Source organism: Homo sapiens, chromosome 19 (assembly GCF_000001405.40).
Source record: "Homo sapiens chromosome 19, GRCh38.p14 Primary Assembly".
Taxonomy (NCBI): domain Eukaryota; kingdom Metazoa; phylum Chordata; class Mammalia; order Primates; family Hominidae; genus Homo; species Homo sapiens.
The window spans coordinates 10,566,383-10,588,002 of NC_000019.10; the positions used below are offsets into that span (position 1 = coordinate 10,566,383).

At 52.8% G+C, this 21,620-nt stretch overlaps 2 protein-coding genes across 5 annotated transcripts, besides 3 other annotated features; both read right to left on the minus strand.

The window, feature by feature from the left end:
* Positions 1–77: 77 nt before the first annotated feature.
* On the minus strand, positions 78–2,597 carry CDKN2D (cyclin dependent kinase inhibitor 2D). Of its 2 annotated transcripts, NM_079421.3 has the most exons (3): positions 2,565–2,597; positions 2,131–2,286; positions 78–1,035 (listed from the first exon to the last, which is right to left on the minus strand). In NM_079421.3, the coding sequence occupies exons 2-3, from the start codon at positions 2,269–2,271 to the stop codon at positions 676–678; spliced, it is 501 nt and encodes a 166-aa protein (NP_524145.1). In that variant the 5' UTR covers positions 2,272–2,286; positions 2,565–2,597; the 3' UTR covers positions 78–675. The 2 variants fall into 2 exon arrangements, with proteins under 2 accessions (NP_524145.1, NP_001791.1); NM_001800.4 differs by having other exon boundaries at positions 2,131–2,597.
* Positions 817–1,324: an enhancer, noted in NCBI's record as "H3K4me1 hESC enhancer chr19:10677875-10678382 (GRCh37/hg19 assembly coordinates)". NCBI's record gives its function as "activates a minimal SCP1, AML or CMV promoter by ChIP-STARR-seq in naive H9 embryonic stem cells {active_cell/tissue: H9 hESC(naive)}" and the evidence as "EXISTENCE:reporter gene assay evidence [ECO:0000049][PMID:30033119]".
* Positions 1,764–1,933: an enhancer, noted in NCBI's record as "active region_13979". NCBI's record gives its function as "activates an Ori minimal core promoter by ATAC-STARR-seq in GM12878 lymphoblastoid cells {active_cell/tissue: GM12878}" and the evidence as "EXISTENCE:reporter gene assay evidence [ECO:0000049][PMID:35858748]".
* Positions 2,214–2,863: a silencer, noted in NCBI's record as "silent region_10083". NCBI's record gives its function as "represses an Ori minimal core promoter by ATAC-STARR-seq in GM12878 lymphoblastoid cells {active_cell/tissue: GM12878}" and the evidence as "EXISTENCE:reporter gene assay evidence [ECO:0000049][PMID:35858748]".
* Positions 6,289–20,930, minus strand: AP1M2 (adaptor related protein complex 1 subunit mu 2). 3 transcript variants are annotated; one of them, NM_005498.5, is made up of 12 exons: positions 20,808–20,930; positions 17,532–17,688; positions 17,224–17,291; positions 15,366–15,496; positions 15,105–15,252; positions 14,884–15,010; positions 13,334–13,476; positions 12,510–12,581; positions 10,816–10,974; positions 8,522–8,647; positions 8,035–8,110; positions 6,289–6,706 (listed from the first exon to the last, which is right to left on the minus strand). In NM_005498.5, exons 1-12 carry the CDS (start codon positions 20,847–20,849, stop codon positions 6,684–6,686), a joined length of 1,272 nt encoding a protein of 423 aa, NP_005489.2. In that variant the 5' UTR covers positions 20,850–20,930; the 3' UTR covers positions 6,289–6,683. The 3 variants fall into 3 exon arrangements, with proteins under 3 accessions (NP_005489.2, NP_001287816.1, XP_047293974.1); NM_001300887.2 differs by having other exon boundaries at positions 13,334–13,482; XM_047438018.1 differs by having other exon boundaries at positions 13,334–13,482; positions 20,773–20,930.
* Between the last annotated feature and the right edge of the window lie 690 nt (positions 20,931–21,620).

Consider the following 21,620-nt stretch of genomic DNA (forward strand, 5'->3'; position numbering starts at 1 on the left):
CCCCCGTCCTCATCCCCATCAACATCCGGGATGTGTAACTCTCCATCCCAGACTCAAAAATCAGAAGCCACCCGTGCTGTGATCATGCACAAGTCTTAATTTAATGGGTAAAAACATTAAATTATTACAACATTTTTTCCAATAAAGCATAATAAATAGAATCCATTTCTTTTAAAACGCTGTACAAGAGACTGGAAAACAAGCTTCCAACAGAATATGAATAACTCATAACTCATTCTACCTTCTTATTGATTTGGGACGCTCCCCCCACCCCCCATGCCTGAAGCAACGTGCACACTTCAGGTCTCTGAGCACAGCCGGCCAAGGCCACCAGCTTCTAGGCTCCCTGGAGGTCATGACTTCACTCTTAAATGCTCTGCCCTTGGGTCTCGTCTGAGGCCCCAGCAGCCTGAGGCGCAGAAGAAACTGAACCGTTTAGGTGGCTGTGGCCTGCAGGAGCCCTTCTCTGTCCAACACACCAAAAGGAGTGAGAAAAACAAATGAGAAACGTCCCCCAAACACTCACACCCCCAAAACCAACACCTATAAGCCACAAACTGTGCTCCTCCCCTACTGCAGCAGTGGGCAGGAGAAACAAGAAGAGAAAGTGTTTCTTCCCCTCTCTTCTGATACATAACCCCACGGGGTTCTCTTGCTGGAGAGGGTGACCCCAGATCACAGCGGGGCCACCATGTGGCCCTGCAGGATGTCCACGAGGTCCTGAGCCCCTCTCTGCAGTGCCAGCTCCAAGGGTGTGAGACCCCTGGCGTCCCTGCGATGGAGATCAGATTCAGCTGCCAGAAAGCTGACCACAGCAGTGTGACCCTCTTGAACTGCCAGATGGATTGGAAGTGCCCCGGTGCCATCAGGCACGTTGACATCAGCCCCGTGCTCCACTAGGACCTTCAGGGTGTCCAGGAATCCAGTGCGGGCTGCGTCATGGACTGGACTGGTACCGGAGGTGTCCTGGACATTGGGGCTGGCACCTTGCTTCAGCAGCTCCAGGGCGATGGCGGTGCTGCCAAACATCATGACCTGTGTGAGGGACAGAGGATCAGGAGGTCCTCAAGGGAGGAGGTTCCACAAAAGGGGTCACTGGAAAGAGAAGGGTCATCCAGAAAGAGGCATCTCCCAGAAACAGGAAATGCTAGAGGAGGGGTCCTCTAGTGAACGGAGAAGCTGCATAAGCCCCCAGGAAAGTTCTTCTGGGAATAGGGACCCCCCCCAAAAGCTGGTCACTCCCTTAAGAATGAGACCCCCCAACCCAGAGAACAGCCCCCCATGGAAACTTTCAAGGAACCTAAGACTCTCCCCCAAGGGACCAAAGACGCCCCCAGATATGGGCAATCACCAGGAAACAGAAAATCCCCTCCAGGAAATGGGCCCCCAGAGATGGAGAACTACCCCCAAAGAATTGATAGTCCTCATAAGGGAAAAAAGATGTCAAAGGAAAGCGAACCCCTTCTCCAGGAAATAGCCTCCTCCTACATAATGGTGATGTCACCTCAGAGTACCTGAGAGCTCCTTTCAAGAAGCGGGATTCCAAAAGTAATAATAAAAGAGAAACGAGACTTCCCTGTAAAATGTCTCCCAGGGAATATAGGGATGTCTTGCAATCTGACATTGTTCCTCCATTGGGGCCCCCATACTATATCAAGGATCCGCATAACCTTTAGGAATGAAGACCCCACCCCCAAGTAACCAGATTTGTCTCAGAGAGCCCCCTACAAAATGAGGAACCCCTAGAGACAGGACCTCTCCTTCCAGAGATCGGATCTCCCCATAGAAGCCCCAAGAAACGTGAGCCGTCCCCATGGAAACGGCATCCAAAGGAGCTGAACCCGCACCCACGGAATAAGAACCTCCCCAGGGAAAGTGAATCCCCGGCACTCAGAGAACCAGGAATCCTCCCAGAGAAGATGCTAAAAAGCTCTCCCCTCCCCCCACAACCTAGCCTCACCCACCACCCACCTTCGAAGGGGGACTGTGGGGGAACAATGAAAGCCTAGAGAAGAAGGACCGGTTCCCAGTGGGTCACCACCAGGGCCAGGAGACCAGAGAGGAGCTCTGGGGTCTCGATCCTCATCCCGCTTAGCCGCCCCGCCCCAACCTGGACCGGCCCGGCCTCACCTGCAGCGCCGTCTTGCCGAAGCGGTTGAGGGCGTCGGGATGCACCAGCTCCCGGTGCAGAAGGCGGCGCACCTCCTGCACGTCGCCCCGGGCCGCCGCCCCACTCAGCCGGTCGCCGGCGCGAACCTCCTCCAGCAGCATGTCGACACTGGCGGCCTGCAAAGCCCCCCGCCCCGCCCCAGCCCGGCGCTGTCAGCGCGGAGCAGCCGGCGGGCGCTGGCCCGAACAGCCCTCCCGGGGCGCGGCCGCGGTGCACCCGGCTGCGCTGCTCTCCCGTCCCGGCTCCCCAGCCCGAGACCCCGGCCCTCCCGGCGGGCTCCTCCCCCTGTCAGCCGGAGGACGGCGAGGGGCTGGGAGCCGGGCCCAACCCTCGGCCGCCCGCGGGGCCCTGCCCGGCGCCCGCCCCTTGGGGGCCGGGTCTCCCCCTAACTCACCCTCCCTCCTCCTCGCCGGGCGGGGTCTGCTCTGAGCCTGCGCCGCCGCCGCCGCTGAGGCAGCCGCCAGGGGGCGGAGCCAACGTGCTCCCGGCCACGCCCCGAACGCAACTGATTTGTTTTCTTACAAACTCGCTACTGTGTAGCGGCACCGCGTTGCCCGGCGCGCGACCTTACGGCGTTCCGCCCACAGGGCCTGCATAACCAGTGGCTGCGCGTCGCCGGGGAAACTTCGGGCTCGGCGTGAAACGCGTCGCTCCTGATTGGTCAGAGTGTGGCAACCGGTGGACCGCCGGCAATGGCGGGGTTTTCGGTTTTCAAATGAACCCGGCAGGCGGGAAAGAAGGCTGGTTTAACTGACCCAGGGAGAAAGGTCAGGGGCAGGGTCGCGCGGGCTGCTCTGGGACCTCGGCGCCTCCTGAGGGAAGGGAGGCAGGGCTGGAGCCACCCAATCCGAGGTTCCACTACTAATAGACATTCATTGGCCCTTACTACGAGCTGGGCGCTTTATTTCATTCATTTATTCATTCACTGTGTGCAGGGAGCGTCCTGGGAGCTGGACGCGCACATTCAAACAACCAAATAATATTAGATAGTGTCAAGCACCGTGAAGAAAGGGAAACGGAGAGACGGAGTGGATGAGGAAGGGATCACCCTGCCGGGCTCAGACTGAGCCAGCAGGAAAGGAGCCTGCAGCTGCCACGTGGGAAGGCCTGAGAGGACATAGTCGCAGCCAGACAGGGACTCAGAGGTCTTCGTTCAAATATTTACTTAGCACCTCCTAGAGGGGCCCGAGTGGAGAGCACGCCAGTCGGCCCCTGCTGCAGGGACACCTATGGTCTGGGGCCAGAGACAATAGTTAATTTTTATTTATATATGTATTTATTTTTGAGTCAGGGTCTCACTCCTGTCACCCGGGCCGGCGTGCAGTGGCGCGATCACAGCTCACTGCAGCCTCGACTTCCCGGGCTCAAGTGATCCTCCTGCCTCAGCCTCCCGAGTAGCTGGGACTACAGGGCGCACCACCACGCCCGGCTAATTTGTGTTTTTAGTAGATATGAGGTTTCACTATGTTGCCCAGGCTGGTGTTTTTTGTTTGTTATTTGTGTTTGGCTTTTAAATACAGATTTTTTTTTTTATGTTGGGGTTCTTGCTTTGTTGCCCAGGCTGGTCCCGAATTCCTGGGCTCAACGGATCCTTCTGCCTTGGCCTCCAAAAGTGCTGGGATTACAGGCGTGAGCTCCTGCTCTCCGCCAATAGTTAAATCTTTTTAGAGTGGTAGAGGACTGACCAGATGAGCCATTGAAACGGAAAGGCAAAAAGCCGGGCGCGGTGGCTCACACCTGTAATCCCAGCACTCTGGGAGGCTGAGGTGGGCGGATCACGAGGTCAGGAGTTCAAGACCAGCCTGACCAACATGGTGAAACCCCGTCTCTACCAAAAATATAAAAAATTAGCCGGGCGAGGTGGCGGGCGCCTGTAGTCCCAGCTACTCGGGAGGCTGAGGCAGGAGAATGGCGTGAACCCCAGGGGGCGGAGCCTGCAGTGAGCCGAGATTGCGCCACTGCACTCCAGCCTGGGCGACAGCGAGACTCCGTCTCAAAAAAAAAAAAAAAAAAAAAAAAATTAGCTGCGCCTGGTGGCACGCACCTGTAATCCCAGCTACTCAGGAGGCTGAGACAGGAGAATCGCTTGAACCCAGGAGGCGGAGGTCGCAGGAGCCGAGATCGCGCCATTGTACTCCAGCCTGGGCAACAGAGTGAGACTCTGTCTCAAAAAAAAAAAAAAAAGAAAAGAAAAGAAAAGAAAAAGAAACGCAAAGGCAGGGAGGGCCTCCCTGAAGAGGTGACATTTGATTTGAGACCTAAAGGTGAGGGAGGGAGACTTGTGGTTATATGGGGAAAAGCACACCAGCTGGGAGGCACAGCAGATGCTAAGGCCCAGAGGTGAGAGCGTGCCTGGTGTGGTACAGAGCAGGGGAGAGCAGGTAGGTGGGGTATCAGGATGGCAATTGTGCAAATCAAGCCATGGCTTTTTTATTTATTTATTTATTTTAATTTTTTTTTAATTTTTTTTTTGAGACGGAGTCTCACTCGCCCAGGCCAGAGTGCAGTGGCGCTATCGCGGCTCACTGCAAGCCCCGCCTCCCGGGTTCACGCCATTCTCCTGCCTCAGCCTCCCGAGTAGCTGGGACTACAGGCGCCCGCCACCGTGCCCGGCCTTTTTTTTTTTTTTTTTTTTTTTTTGAGACAGAGTCTTGCTCTGTCGCCCACGCCCGACCAGGCCATGGCTTTAATAAGATAGGAATGCCGAGCGAAGTGGCTCACACCTGTAATTCCAACATTTTGGGAAGCTGAGGCGGGTGGATCACCTGAGGTGGGGAGTTCGAGACCAGACTAGCCAACATGGTGAAATCCCATCTCTATTAAAAAATACAGGCCGGGCGCAGTGGCTCACGCCTGTAATCCCAGCATTTTGGGAGGCCGTGGCGGGCGGATCACGAGGTCAGGAGATTGAGACCATCCTGGCTAATACGGTGAAACACCGTCTCTACTAAAAATACAAAAAATTAGCCAGGCGTGGTGGCGGGCGCCTGTAGTCCCAGCTACTTGGGAGGCTGAGGCAGGAGAATGGTATGAACCCGGGAGGCGGAGCTTGCAGTGAGCCGAGATCACGCCACTGCACTCCAGCCTGGGCGACAGAGCAAGACTCTTGTCTCAAAAAAAAAAAAAAATTAAGCCAGGCGCGGTGGCTCACGCCGGTAATCCTAGCACTTTGGGAGGCCAAGGCGGGCGGATAATGAGGTCAGGAGTTTGAGACCAGCCTGACCAACATGGTGAAACCCCGTCTCTACTAAAAATAACAATAATTAGTGGGGCATGGTGGCGCACGCCTGTAATCCCAGCTACTCAGCAGGCTGAGGCAGGAGAATCGCTTGAACCTGGGAGGTGGAGGTTGCAGTGAGCCGAAATCGCGCCACTGCACTCCAGCCTGGGCGACAGAGCGAGACTCCGTCTCAAAAAAACAAAAACAAAAACAAAAATTAAGCCAGGCGCAGTGGCTCATGCCTGTAATCCCAGCACTTTGGGAAGCCGAGGCGGGCAGATCATGAGGTCAGGAGTTCGAGACCAGCCTGGCCAACATGGTGAAACCGGTCTCTACTAAAAATACAAAAATTAGCTAGGTGTGGTGATGGGCGCCTGTAATCCCAGCTACTCGGGAGGCTGAGGCAGAAGAATCGCTTGAACCCGGGAGGCGGAGGCTGCAGTGAGCCGAGATCGCACCACTGCACTACTCCAGCCTTGGCGACAGACTGAGACTCCGTCTCAAACAAAACAAACAAACAAACAGACAAAAAAAGCCAGGCGTGATGGTGGGCGACTACGACTATAATCCCAGCTACTCGGGAGGCTGAGGCAGGAGAATTGCCTGAACCTGGGAGGCGGAGGTTGCAGTGAGCCGAGATCGCGACACTGCACTCCAGCCTGGGCTACAGTGAGACTGTCTCAAAAAAAAAAAAAGAAAAAAGAAAAAAGGAAAAAAGAAGCGATGCTAACACGCGCCCTCTAGCGGCTACTGGGGGAACAGACCGTGGAGGTGGGAAGCAAAGGCAACAGCAGAGGACCAGGGCCATGACCCGGGACTGAGGAATGGACTGACACGTGTTACCCACTCCCATTGCAGCACTTCAGTAATGTCCCCAAACAAGCACATAGGCAGCGGCTAGATTCATCTTTTTAATGACATCCTAAAATTCAGAGGAGGGGCCAGCGGGACCTCTGGGCTCAGCGGCTGTGAAGGAGGGACCCGCAACACCCGCTAAGGCAGGTAATTGCAAGAAGGCACTCGCGAGGAGGACTTCAAGCCCCTCTTCTATTTCTTCATATAAAATCAGGGGGATGGGGAAAGCTCCAAGGGCGAGGGAAGCAGAGAGAGTTTCTCTCCCAGCCTATGGAATAAGGAAGAGGTGAGGAAGGGGCGGGTGCTGGGAGCAAGAAACTGCCAAGTCCAGGACCTGCCCTCACACAGACACACACAGCCCGCACCTGCCCTCCCTCTAAAATCTGCATCCGGGGCTGTAAGGAAGCCCCGTGTTCAAGCCCCCATCTCTTCTCCCTTCTAGCTGGTACGAAGTTGGTAATCTGCAGAGAAAGAATGAGGAGGGGCCATCTCAGAAATGGGGAGAGGGGGGCCGGGCACGGTGACTCACGCTTATAATCCCAGCACTTTGGGAGGTCGAGGCAGGTGGATCACTTGAGGTCAGGGGTTCGAGACCAGCCTGGCCAACATGGTGAAACCCCATGTCTATTAAAAATACAAAAATTAGCTGGGTATGATGGTGCACACCTGTAATCCCAGCTACTAGGGAGGCTGAGGCAGAAGAATTGCTTGAACCCAGGAGGTGGAGGTTGCAGTGAGCTGAGATTGCGCCACTGCACTCCAGCCTGGGCGACAGAGTGAGATTCCATCTCAAAAAAGAAAAGAAATGGGGAGGGGTGAAGGAAGAGGGACAGCCTCCCACAGCCCCTCAATTCATCCCCTATCCCAGCACTCATGATCAACAAGGCTAAGAATGGGGCTAAACACAGGTACTGTAACCATAGAAACAAGGCAGTTTCCAGGCAGCAGATGGAGGTGCTATATGTTCAGCCCCTTCTCCAAACTCGCGACCACCCTAGAACTGACGCTGACAACTGTCCCTGCTTTTTTTTCCTTTTTTTTTTTTTTTTTTTTTGAGCCAGGGTCTCACTCTTGCCCAGGATGGAGTGCAGTGGTGCAATCACAGCTCACTACAGCCTCGACCTCCTGGGCTCAGGCGATCCTCCCACCTCAGCCTCCTGAGTTGCTGGGACTACAGGTGTGCACATCACACCTGGCTAATTTTTATATTTTTTGTAGTGAAGGGGTTTTGCTGTGTTGCCAAGGCTGGTCTGGAACTCCTGAGCTCAAGCGGTCCTCCCACCTCAGCCTCCCAAAGTGCTGGAATTACAGATGTGAGCCACCACACCCAGCCAACTGCCCCCATTTTAAAGACGTGCAAACCAAGGCCCAGGGTGCCATGACAAGAAGGGGCAGTTTGCTTTCTTTTTCATTTTTTGAGACAGGGTTTCTGTCGACCAGGCAGGAGTGCAGTGGCACGATCTCAGCTCACTGCAACCTCCACCTCCCGGGTTCAAGCAATTCTGCCTCAGCTTCCTGAGTAGCTTGGATTATAGGCATACACCACCACACCCGGCTAATTTTTGTATTTTTAGTAGAAACAGGGTTTCACCATGTTGGCCAGGTTGGTCTCGAACTCCCGGCCTCAAGAGATCCACCCGCCTTGGCCTCCCAAAGTGCTAGGATTACACACCTGAACCATCACACCTGACCCTTGTTGGTTTTCTGAGCCAGAATGTGGTGAAAGCCTCGAGTCCCTACCCACTGCCTTTCCCTCACCCCATTGTCCCCAGGAGCTGGGCTGCCTTACCGCCACTCTGGGTGATGTAGCGAACCCAGGGCAGGGCCTGGTAACCACTTTTCTCAATGATCTTCATGTATCGGACCTGGAAGGGAATGAAAAGAGGTGGTCCAGGATTGCAGGAGGGAGGAGGCCAGGGCCAGGGAGAAAGAGACGGCTTAGGCCAAGCGGCTATGTGGCACAGGCTGGGATCGATGAGGGGATATCACATGGTCTTAGGGGGATGAGGTGGCACAGGCAACGGAATGGTGAATGGCTTTGGAGGTGGAGAAGGGACAGAAGTGAACAAGCCGGTGGGGAACAAGGTGGCACAGGCCGGGGGAGAGGGAGCACAGGCTGTGGGCAGATAAAGGTAACATTGCTCTGGGAAAGACCAGGCAGCCTTCAGAGGAGTGTTGACACAGGCCAGGGGACTGAGGTGACTCGAGCCAAGGGACAGGAGAGAGGGGAACCCACCGAAGTCAAGGGGAGGATCCTCCCTGCCTGCTTCTCTCACCTGGATCCCAGAGACGGTGAAGTAGGGGATCTCAAACTTGACCCCGATGGGGGGCCGGCCCTCCACCTCTTCCTTTTCCACACTGGGGAGGCCAAAGTGGGCTCGCATCAAGTACTCCTTGCCCCCCTGAGGGAACATGGGGGCATCAGGTACACGAGGGTCCGCCTACCCTCCCGAGACCTTCCTTTCAGCAACCCCTGGAGTCAGATCTGCTCACAGCCCATTTCACAGACAGGAAAATAAAGGCTCCTTAGCCTGGGCAACATATTGAGATACCATGTCTACAAAAAGTTTAAAAATTAGCTGGGTGCGGTGGAACATGCCTGCAGTTTCAGCTACTTGGGAGGCTGAGGCAGGAAGATCCCTTGAGTCTGGGAGTTTGAGGCTGCAGTGAGCCATGATCTCACCACTGCACCCCAACCTGGGTGACAGAGACTCACCAGGGAAGATTCTGACTGCAAAACCCAATCAGGGTTTTTTTCTTTTTTTAACTACCATGTCCTGTTTTACAGGCACTGATGATCCACCTCTCCCAAGATCATGGGGACAAACCAAAACCTCTAGTAGCCAAGGGATGTGGGTCACCTCATCCTGCCCATTTCACAGACAGGCAAACTGAGCCTCCTTAAGTGGAAATGGGTTTCCCAAACCCACCCAGCTCAGCAAAGCAATAGTGAGGAAGGTGAACCCAGGGCTGGTTTCCTCAAGACATTGGCAGGGGGATATTTAAATCCACACACTTCCCGTCATGGAAGTTTACACGTCTGTGAAATAGACTGGCCTGGTTTCAAGCTTGATCACTTGCATACATACGTACCTCTCTGATTTACTTGTATTTCTTTTTTCTTTTTTTTTCTTTTTTTTTCTTTTTTTTTTTTTTTGAGATGGAGTCTTACTCTGTCGCCCAGGCTGGAGTGTAGTGGTGCGGTCTTGGCTCACTGCAAGCTCCGCCTCCCAGGTTCACGCCATTCTCCTGCCTCAGCCTCCCGGTAGCTGGGACTACAGGCGCCCGCCACCACGCCCAGCTAATTTTTTTTTTTTTTGTATTTTTAGTAGAGACGGGGTTTCACAGTGTTAGCCAGGATGGTCTCGATCTCCTGACCTCGTAATCTGCCCGCCTCAGCCTCCCAAAGTGCTGGGAATTACAGGCGTGAGCCACTGCGCCTGGCCTTGTATTTCTTTTTTCTAAGTTTTTTTTTTTTTCTTGAGACAGAGTTTCACTCTGTCACCCAGGCTGGAGTGCGGTGGCGTGATCTCAACTCACTGCAACCTCCGCCTCCCGGGTTCAAGTGATTCTCCTGCCTCAGCCTCCTGAGTAGCTGGTACTACAGGCGCACACCCCCATGCCCGGCTAATTTTTTTTTTTTTTTTTTTTTTGAAATGGAGTCTCGCTCTGTCACCCAGGCTGGAGTGCAGTGGCGTGATCTCTGCTCACTGCAAGCTCCACCTCCCGAGTTCAGGCCATTCTCCTGCCTCAGCCTCCCAAATAGCTGGGACTACAGGCGCCTGCAACCACGCCCGGCTAATTTTTTGTATTTTTAGTAGAGATGGGGTTTCACCATGTTAGCCAGGATGGTCTCGATCTCCTGACCTCGTGATCCGCCCACCTCGGCCTCCCAAAGTGCTGGGATTACAGGCGTGAGCCACCGTGCCCTGCCCTAATTTTTGTATTTTTAGTAGAGACGGGTTTTCACCATGTTGGCCAGGCTGGTCTTGAACTTCTGACCTCAGGTGATCTGCCCGCTTCAGCCTCCCAAAGTGCTGGGATTACAGGTATGAGCCACCATGTCTGGCCTTTTAATCTTTTTTTTTTTTTTTTGAGACGGAGTCTCGTTCTGTTGCCCAGGCTGGAGTGTGCAGTGGCACAATCTCAGCTCACTGCAACCTCTGCCTCCCGGGTTCAAGCAATTCTCCTGCCTCAGTGTCCCGAGTGGCTGGGATTACAGGCATGCGCCACCACACCCAGCTAATTTTTGTACTTTTACTAGAGACGGATGTTAGCCGTCTCTATGTTAGCCAGGCTGGGATTTCAGGCGTGAGCCACTGCGCCCAGCTCCTCTTAATATTTTTATAGAGGCAGGGTCTCACTGTGTTCCCCAGGCTGGTCTCCAGCTCCTGGGTTCAAGCGATCTGCCCGTGTCAGCCTCTCAAAGTACTGGCATTCCAGTCATGAGCCATCACACCTGACTGGGTCTCTGATTTGTTCTCTGCCTTGTTCTCATGGCTCCTGGGCAGCCCCCACACTACTCCAGTCCCCTCCACCCCCAGATCCCCCGCCAGTCCCTGGTACTTACCGGGAAAGACTTAATACTCCAAATCACGACGTTTCTCTCCGGCACATACTTGGCGCTGCCCACACTGGTCTTGAATCTGGGGGAGTCGGCATCGCTGGGTACAGGCACAGATATCTCCACACCGTTGGCCACTGACTGTTTCTTAAACTGCCCCTTGGCCTGTCAGGGGAGCGAGCATGGGGCACGAAGAATTCGCTTGCTCATCCTTCAAATATTTACCAAGCCCTTTTTTTTTTTTTTTTTTTTTTTTTTTTGAGACGGAGTCTCACTCTGTCGCCCAGGCTGGAGTGCAGTGGCGCGATCTCGGCTGGCTGTAAGCTCCGCCTCCCAGGTTCACGCCATTCTCCTACCTCAGCCTCCTGAGCAGCTGGGACTACAGGCACCCGCCAGCACGCCCAGCTAATTTTTTTTGTATTCTTAGTAGAGACGGGGTTTCAGCATGTTAGCCAGGATGTTCTCGATCTCCTGACCTCGTGATCCGCCCACCCCGGCCTCTCAAAGTGCTGGGATTACAGGCGTGAGCCACCATGCTTGGCCTTTTTTTTTTTTTTTTTTTTTAGACGGAGTCTCTCTCTGTCACCCAGGCTGGAGTGCAGTGGCACAATCTCCGCTCACGGCAACCTCCGCCTCCTGGGTTCAAGCAATTCTCCTGCCTCAGCCTCCCAAGTAGGTGGGATTACAGGCATGTGCCACCACGCCCTGCTAATTTTGTATTTTTAGTAGAGACAGCGTTTCTCCATGTTGGTCAGGCTGGTCTGGAACGCCTGACCTCAGGTGATCCTACTGCCTCCGCCTCCCAACATGCTGGGATTACAGGTATGAACCACTGCACCCAGCCTGAAGGGGTCATTTTGAATCAGGCAAAGGTGTATGGTGCTGTCCACATGGAAGGCACCAAGAACAGGGCTTCTCGAGCCTCATGGGTGTGGGCCTGAGTTCTAACAGTTGTTGGCTGTGTATCTGCAGGCAAATGCCTTAACTTCTGTGTGCCTCAGTTTCCTCATCTGTAAAATGGACAGGATAAGGGTCCCCACCTTAGGATTGTGGAGGCCTGGGCTGAGAGGGCATATGAAAGGCTTGTTGAAAAAAGCCGGGGGTGGTGGGCCACACCTGTAATCCCAGCACTTGGGGAGATGGAGGCAGGCGTGGCGGCAGGAGCCTGTAATCCCAGCTGCTCGGGAGGCTGAGGTAGGAGAATGGCATGAACCCAGGAGGCAGAGGTTGCGGTGAGCTGAGATCACACCACTGCACTCCAGCCCGAGTGACAGAGGGAGACTCTTTCTCAAAAAACAAACGAACAAACAAACAAAAAAACCCTTCAGTCCATCACAGGAGAGTTATTATTTTATTTGATAACAGATTTTTTTTTTCTTTTTTCTTTTTGGAGATGGGGTCTAGCTCTGTCATCCAGGCTAGAGTCCTTGTCTCACTACAACCTCCTCCTCCTGGACTCAAGCAATCCTCCCACCTCAGCCTCCCAACTAACTGGCACTACAGGCACTCACCACTTTACCAGGCTAATTTTTGTATTTTTTGTAGAAACAGGGTTTCGCCCTGTTGCCCAGGCTGGTCTCAAAGTCCTGGGCTTAAGTGATCTAACCACCCCGGCCTCCCAAAGTGCTGGGATTACAGGTGTGAGCCACCGCACCCACCCGAGATCATGCATTGTTAATAAGCATTCCCCCAAGGCCCACCTTGACCATGATCTCCACGCGGCTGTGGGAGAACTTCTCAATGACAGACTCAATCCAGATCAGTGGCTTGACCTGTGGGAAGAAGAAGGGGAGAGTTCTTGGAGACTCCATGTTGACTCTCTTCTTTTTTTTTTTTTTTTTTTCTTTCTTTGAGACAGAGTCTCGCTTCTTCGCCCAGGCTGAAGTGCCATGGCGTGATCTTGGCTCACTGCAACCTGCACCTCCTGGACTAAAGCAATTCTCGGCCGGGAGCGGTGGCTCACGCCTGTAATCCCAGCACTTTGGGAGGCCAAGGTGGGCGGATCACGAGGTCAGGAGATCGAGACCATCCTGGCTAACACGGCGAAACCCCGTCTCTACTAAAAATGCAAAAAATTAGCTGGACACGGTGGCATGCGCCTATAGTCCCAGCTACTCGGGACGCTGAGGCAGGAGAATGGCGTGAACCTGGGAGGCGGAGCTTGCAGTGAGCCGAGATAGCGCTACTGCACTCCAGCCTGGGTGAAAGAGCCAGACTCCGTCTCAAAAAAATAATAATAATAAAAATTAAAAAAAACAAATAAAGCAATTCTCCTGCCTCAGCCTCCCCAGTACCTGGGATTACAGCATGTGCCACCATGCCCAGCTAATTTTTGTATTTTTAGTAGAGACAGGGCTTCACCCTGTTGGCCAGGCTGGTCTCGAACTCCTGTCCTCAAGTGATCCACCCGACTCAGCCTCCAAAATTGTTGGGATTACAGGCGTGAGCCACTGCGCTGGGCCCAGGGTCGCTCTTCAGCCTACCCCAACCTACTCCACCCAGATGGGGCTGGACCCTGCCTCACCTGGGTGCTGAGGCGGTATGACATGAGCTCAAAGTCACCATCAGGCGGGATGAAGGAGATGGTGCGGTCGTTGTCAAAGCGAGAGAGCCGCACGCACTGGTGGAATTTTACATCCTCCAGCTCTACTGATTTGTTCTTGCTGCCTGAAACTCAGAGTGGAGAGTGGAGAGTGACCCTGGGAACCAGGAAAGGATCCCTATCCCCACCTTTCCTGCCGACCACTGTCACCTATTTCACATATGGGGAAACTGGGGCCCAGAGAGAATGAGCAAAAACTGGCACAGTAGAGCTGGAATCTGAACCTAGTATCTGTACAGGATCTGGCTTGGTTTTTTTTTTTTTTTTTTTTTTTTTGAGACAGAGTTTCACTCTTGTTGCCCAGACTGGAGTGCGATGGCACGTCTTGGCTCACCGCAACCTCCACCTCCCGAGTTCAAGCCATTCTCCTGCCTCAGCCTACTGAGTAGATAGGATTACAGGAATGTGCTACCACCCCCGGCTAATTTTGTATTTTTAGTAGAGACGGGGTTTCTCCATGTTGGTCAGGCTGGTCTCAAATTCCCAACCTCAGGTGATCCTCCCTCCTCGGCCTCCCAAAGTGCTGGGATTACAGGCGTGAGCCACTGTATACCCGGCAGTGTCTGGCTTTTAAATATGATGCTGAGGCCTGGCGTGGTGGCTCACGCCTGTAATCCCCGAACTATGGGAGGCTGAGATGGGCGGATCACAAGGTAAAGAGATCGAGACCATCCTGGCCAACATGGTGAAACCTCGTCTCCACTAAAAATACAAAAAAAATTAGCTGGGCGTGGTGGCTGGTGCCTATAGTCCCAGCTACTCAGGAGGCTGAGGCAGGAGAATAGCTTGAACCCAGGAGGCGGAGGTTGCAGTGAGCTGAGATCATGCCACTGCACTCCAGCCGGGTGACGGAGCGAGACTCCATCTTAAATCAATCAATCAGTCAATAAATAAGATGCTGAGCCAGGCACAGTAGTTCACACCTGTAATCCTAGCACTTTGGGAGGATTGCTTGAGGCCAGGAGTTTAGACCAGACTGGGCAACATAGCGAGACCCCCGTCTCTATAAAAAATTTAAAAAGTAGGTGGTCCATGCCTGTAGTCCCAGCTACTCGAGAGGCTGAGGTGGGAGGATCAGTTGAGCCTCGGAGGTCAAGGCTGCAATGAGCTATGATCACACCACTGCACTCCAGCCTGGGTGACAGAGCGAGACCCCATCCCAAAATAAATAAATAAATAAGATGCTATTCTGTCTCCTCCTCCCAGTAGGATGTCATCTCTGTAAGAACGCGGGTTTGTCTTTTTCTTCACTGCTGTGTCCTCAGAGCCTAAAACTGCACCTGGCACCCAATAGTCGCTCAATCATGAAACAGCCTTTGCAGTCAGCCAATGGCTGCAATACTGGCCGTGATCAGCAGATGGTGAGCGAGCGCTTATTTCAAAACGGGCTGCGATTCTCTTAAGTCCCCACGTGGGGCGGGTTTGCGACTCCCCTGTGCATTTCTCAGAAGAAAGGTCCCCTAAATGCTTACGGCCAGTGAGCTCGAAGAGCACGCGGTCATTGAGGCCCAGCCGCAGCTCTGGCATTCCTGACAGAAACACCTTGAGCTTGATGGTACCGACGATTTCGCTCAGAAGGACGCTGCCGTTGGCATTGACCTGAGGGAGGACGTTGGGTATAGTTAGCAGGCATCAAACTCCGTCTCCTGCAGCCAGGCCGTGGAAGGGGTGCCGGGGAGGTGTGCAGGCTCACCAGCAGGTTGACAGACTCTATGACATCAATGAAGACCTCGTTCTTCTTATACTTGATACCCTCGGAGCGCCAGGACACAGCGTTGGTGACAGTGGGTGGCACCCGTGACTTGCCCGTCTCCAGCTTGTTGCTCTGCTGAGTGATGTACCTGGAGGGAGGGCGGCAGGGACAAGCAGCTGGACCCAGGGACACCTCCGTGGACCTCCTCCAGTTCCTTACACCCACAGTCCAGCCCATGGCTGCCTCCAGGGGTCCACTCACTCCTGCAGGATCTTGCTGTCGGTGGTCTGCGGGAAGCCAAAGTCCATGAGCTCGTCCAGCAACTCGTAGACGATGACAAAGTTGTCCCGGATGCTCTCCTCCTCCAGCTCCTTGAAGTATTCGCAGAATACCTGGGGGTTGGAGGAGAGAGAGACCCACAAAAGTGTGGCTATGGGTTGGGCATAGTAGCTCATGCCTGTAACCCCAGCACCTTGGGAGGCCAAGGCACGAGGATCACTTAAGGTCATGAGTTCAAGACCAGCCTGGGCAATATAGTGAACCCCTATCTCGTTTTTTCTTTTTTCTTTTTTTTTTCGAGACAGTCTCGCACTGTCACCCAGGCTGGAGTGCAGTGGCACTATCTCGGCTCACTGCAACTCCTGCCTCCGGGGTTCAAGCGATTCTCCTGCCTCAGCCTTCTGAGTAGCTGGGACTACAGGCACGCACTACCAGGGCCAGCTAATATTTGTATTTTTAGTAGAGACGGGGTTTCACAATGTTGGCCAGGATGATCTCGATCTCTTGATCTCGTAATCCGCCCACTTTGGCTTCCCAAAGTGCTGGGATTATGGCATGAGCCACCGGTGCCCGGCCATGAGCCCCTATCTCTAACAACAACAACAAAAATTTTAATAGGAGTTCGAGGCTGCAGTGAGCCATGAGGATGCTACTGCACTCCAGCCTGCGTAACAGAATAAGCCCCTGTCTCAAAAAGAAAAAAGGCCGGGCATGGTGGCTCATGCCTGTAATCCCAACAATGGGAGGCCAAGGGAGGCAGCTCACTTGAGGTCAGGAGTTTGAGACCAGCTGGCCAACATGGCAAAACCCCGTCTATACTAAAAATACAAAAATTAGCCAGGCATGGTGGCACCTGCCTGTAATTGCAGCTACTAGGGAGGCTGAAGCAGGAGAATCACTTGAACCCAGGAGGTAGAGGTTGCAGTGAGCTGAGATTGTGCCACTGCACTCCAGCCTGGGCAACAAAGTGAGACCCTGTCTCAAAAGAAAAAACAAAAAAGAAAAAAGAAAAAGTGTACTGAATGCTTGAAAAATTAGGCAAAAAAGGGCAGGTATGGTGGCTTCTTTTTTTTTTTTTGAGACTAAGTCTCACAGTGTTGCCCAGGCTGGAGTGCAGTGGCGAGATCTTGGCTCACCACAACCTCTGCCTTCCAGGTTCAGGTGATTCTCCTGCCTCAACCTTCCCCGTAGCTGGGATTACAGGCAGGTGCCACCATACCCGGCTAATTTTTGTATTTTTAGTAGAGAAGGGGTTTCTGCATGTTGGCCAGCCTGGTCTCGAACTCCTGGCCTCAAGCAATCCGCCCACCTTAGCCTCCCAAAGTACTGGGATTACAGGCATGAGCCACTGTGCCTGGCCTTTTTCTTTTTTTTTTTAAGCACAGAGACAAGAAGTCACTTGCTCAAGGTCACACAGTGAGGAAGCAGGGAAGCTGGGATTGGATGCCAAGTCCTTGGGCTTAGCTGAGCCGTATGCTCTCTGAGACATTCTTGGTCCCTGTCCTTTAGGGAGAGATGACTTCATAAGCAGCTGATGAGATGCAGAGTGATGGGGCTTTGATGGCGGATGCACAGAGACTCAAACAAGGCCCCAGGGAAGGGGTGAGCGTGGTGGCTCCCATGCTTTGGGAGGCCAAGGCAGTAGGATTGCTTCAATCCAGAAGTTCTAGACCAGCCTGGGCAATATAGCAAGACCCCATCTCTACCAGAAAAAAAAAAAAGGGAAGACCCAGGGAGATCTGGGAAGGCTTCCTATCAGAAAAGGATCTTGAATCTTGAAAGAGGCGGGCAAGAGGGATAGACGGATAGACCAGTTAGCCAATGGGAGGCTAGTACCTACCTCTATTGTCTTATACAGGAAGGAGTACACCAGGGAGGCATTGGCATTCTTCGATGTGGTGGCCACCACTGGGGCAGCAAGGTTAAGGAAAAGGTGCCATTTATGGAGAAGTAAATGGAATACAGACCCCGAACCTCCACCCTGTCCCTTGCCACCACCCTCATCTCTACCTGCCCCTGCCCCCCAGCCTAAGCCACAGAGATGTGCGGTGCAACTCCTGTCCTCAGCCCACCCTCTCTTGGCCTGAGCTGCCACCATCGCCGACAGCCCCCACACCCACCTCCAGGGACACCACGTGGGGTGGATACAGTAGAGGTTGCTGTGTTTGATCCATAGGAAGTGGACCTGGCCGTGGCTCAGCAGCGGGGCCAGGGCGCCTTCCTCCTCCCGCTGTACCAGCAAAGGCATGAAGTGCTCAATCTTGCTCATGGCCACATCGCCCTTGTAGTTGCGGCTGATCAATGGCTGAGGGTGGAAGGAAAGGACCTGGTCACCACCAGCATCCAAGAACCTACCACGCTGAGGAGGCACAGTGCCCGGTTCTGACCCTACTTCCTAGCTGAGGGGCTTGGGCAAGGCTCTGCCTCCTTGTGCCTGTTTCCTGCTCTGTAAAATGGGAGTGTGATGACAACAGCTAATGGGTCTAGGGCCCTCACTAAGTGCCAGGCTGTGTTTTATTAAAGGGTAGGCGATGGCTGGACGCAGTGGCTCACGCCTGTGATCCCAGCATTTTGGGAGGCCGAGGCGGGTGGATCATGAGGTCAAGAGATCGAGACCATCCTGGCCAACATGGTGAAACCCCGTCTTTACTAAAAATACAAAAAATTAGCCGGGCGTGATGGCGTGTATCTATAGTCCCAGCTACTCGGGGTGCTGAGGCAGGAGGATCACTTGAACCTGGGAGGCGGAGATTGCAGTGAGCCGAGATCGTGCCACTGCACTCCAGCCTGGCGACAGAGCAAGACTCCATCTCAAAAGAAGAAAGAGAGAAAGAAAGAAAGAAAGAAAGTAAAGAAGGAAGGGAGGAAGGGAAGGAGGGAGGGTAGGAGGGAAGGAAGGAAGGAAGGAAGGAAGGTAGGCAGGCAGGCTGGCTACTAAAAAAAGAGTAGATGTTTACTAACTTATTAGTTCTTGCCACAACCCTGTGGGGTAGATGTTATCATCATCTCCATTTCACACAGGAGAAGTGAGGTTAGAAACCATGTCCACTGGAAGCATATGGAAACTGGGGATTGATCTAAGGCATCCTGGGTCCAGAATCCCTGCTGTTGCCCCAGACTTCATTTGCACCAAAGTGGGATTATTTAAAAAAACAACAACAACAAAAAAAAAAAACAAAGAAGAGGCCAGGTGCAATGACTCACTCATGAAGACCAAGGCAGGAGGATCCCTTGAGGCCAGGAGTTTGAGACCAGCTTTGGCAACATAGCGGGATCCCTCTACAAAAAATTTCAAGAATTAGCTGAGCATGGTGGCCTGCACCTCTGTAGTCACAGCTACTCTGGAGGCTAAGGCAGAAGAATCAATTGAGCCTAGGAGGTCGAGACTACAGTGAGCTGTGGTCATACTACTGCACTCCAGCCCGAGCAACAGAGTGAGACCCTGTCAAAAAAAGAAAGAAGAAAAGAAAGAAAGAAAGAAGGAAAGAAGGAAAGAAGGAAAGAAAGAAAGAAGAAAAAAAGAAAGAAAGAAAGAAAGAAAGAAAGAAAGAAAGAAAGAAAGAAAGAAAGAAAGAAAGAAAGAAAGAAAGATGACAGTTCATATGATTGTGCCTGGTAGTCAGGAAGACACCCATAATAGTAAACACTTCTGTCTGGACACGGTGGCTCACGCCTTTAATCCCAGCACTTTGGGAGGCTAAGGCGGGTGGATCATGAGGTCAAGAGTTCGAGACCATCCAGGCCAACATGATGAAACCCCGTCTCTACTAAAAATACAAAAATTAGCTTGGTGTGCTGGCGCATGACCGTAATCCCAGCTACTCAGGAGGCTAAGGCATGAGAATCACTTGAACCCAGGAGGTGAAGGTTGCTGTGAGCTGAGATCACACCAGCCTGGTGACAGAGCGAGACTCCATCTCCAAAAAAAAAAAAAATTAGTTAACCACTTCCTAAGGTTGTTTTGTCCAGTGTCTGAACAGGGAGGACCCATGGCAGGTTCTCAAACATCTTAGCTCTCACTATTAATATTAATGGGAATATTATTTTCACCACCACTCTTATTTTGGCTATTAAATGACAAGACAGGCTGACTGCAGTGGCTCACACCTGTCATCCGAACACTTTGGGAGGCTGAAGCAGGGGGATAGCTGGGGACCAGGAGTTCAAGACCATCCTGGACAACATAGCAAGACTCCATCTGTACAAAAAAATAAAAATAAAAAATAGGCCGGGTGCGGCCGGGCGCAGTGGCTCATGTCTGTAATCCCAGCACTTTGGGAGGCCGAGGTGGGCGGATCACGAGGTCAAGAGATTGAGACCATCCTGCCCAACATGGTGAAACCCCATCTCTACTAAAGATACAAAAAATTAGCCGGGCGTGATGGTGCGCGCCTGTAATCCCAGCTACTCAGGAGGCTGAGGAAGGAGAATCACTTGAACCTGGGAGGTGGAGGTTGCAGTGAGCCAAGATCATGCCATTGCACTCCAGCCTGGGTGACAAGGCGAGACTCTGTCTTGAAAAAAAAAAAAAATACAAAAATTAGCCAGGCATGGTGGCATGCACCTGTAGTCCCAGCTACTCGGGAGGCTGAGGCAGGAGAATTGCTTCAACCCGGGAGGTGGAGGTTGCAGTGAGCCAAGATGGAGCCACTGCACTCCAGCCTGGGTGACAGAGCAAGACTCTATTTAAAAAAAAAAAAAAAAAAAAATTAAAAATAGCCGGGCATGGAGGGGTCAGCCCGCAGCCCCAGATATTCAGGAGTTTGAGAGCAGCTTTGGCAACATAGCGGGATCCCTCTACAAAAAAATGTCAAGAATTAGCCAGGCATGGTGGCCTGCACCTGTGTAGTCACAGCTACTCCGGAGACTGAGGCAGGAGGATCGCTTGAGCCCAGGAATTCCAGGCTGCAGTGAGCTATGATCGCACCACTGCACTCAAGCCTGGGAGACAGCAAGAGACCCTGTCTCCAAAATAAAAAAAGACAAGAGGAATAAAAGGACTTCAGGAAGAGGCAAGGCAGCCACAGATGGGGGGAGTTAGAGGCCCCTGTTCCAGTTGCCTTCCCCAGGTATTAACACTGTGGATGCCGACAGTGATGGAGATAATTTCAATTTGCTGAGTCCCTAATATTTCCAGAAAGGCCACTATGCTAAGTAGTTTACACGCAGCGAGTTGTATTAATTCTCATTGGGTGGGGACCTCTGTTGCTCCCATTTTTACATACAGAGAAACTGAGGCCCTAGGAGGCGAACCCCTTGGCCTCAGGCACAAGGCGAGTGGATGCTGGAGGTGGGATTCCCAGGGATTGCAGGGGGAGGGGGTGTTCCCAGACCTCTTCCTGGCCCGCGCGGAGGGGTCGCCCCTGAATCCCTGGGAGCGAGACCTCACCTGTCCGTCTCCCAACTCCTCATGCCCAGCCTCACCTTGCCCTTAACGTCCAGAATGAAGACAGCCGAGGCGGACATGGTGGCGGCCGAAGGACTTAGGAGTCGGGGAGGGAGCGCCGGGAGGCGATGGCGGCGCCGCTTCCTTCTTCCTGCGGAAGCGCCTGCGCCCAGGTGAGAGCCCAGGTGTGTGCGTCTTAAAGGGGAGGCGGCCAGGTGAGCAGCGCTGTCGGCCAACTTGAAGATGGCTGCGGGGCCGGGAGAGGTACTGCGACTTCAGATGGGTCTGCTGCCCCCCTTCACTTTCCCTAGCCACCCAGGAGTAATGACGGGTGGAGACCCCAAACCAATCAACCATCCTTCCATCCATTCATTCATCCTTCCTTTCATTCATCTATCCATCCATTCGTCCATCCATCCATTCATTCTTGCATTCATTAATCCATCCACGCATCCACTCATTTAGCCATTCATTAATCCATCTTCCATCGATTCATTGATCCATCCTTCCATTCGTCATCCATTTCTTCATCCATTTTTGCATTCATTTATTTGTTCGTCTATCCATTATCCATTCATCCATCCATTTATTCATCCATTCATTCATCCCTTCTTGCATTCATTCATTTATTCATCTTTCCATTCATCCATCCATTCATCCATTCTAACATTCATCAATTTATTCATCTATCCATCCATCCATCCATCCGTTCATCCATTCTTGCATCATTAATTTATTCATCTATCCATTCATCAATCCATCCATCCATCCATTCTTGCATTCATTAATTTATTCATCTATCCATTCATCCACCCATCTATCCATTCATTCATCCTCTCATTGATTCATCC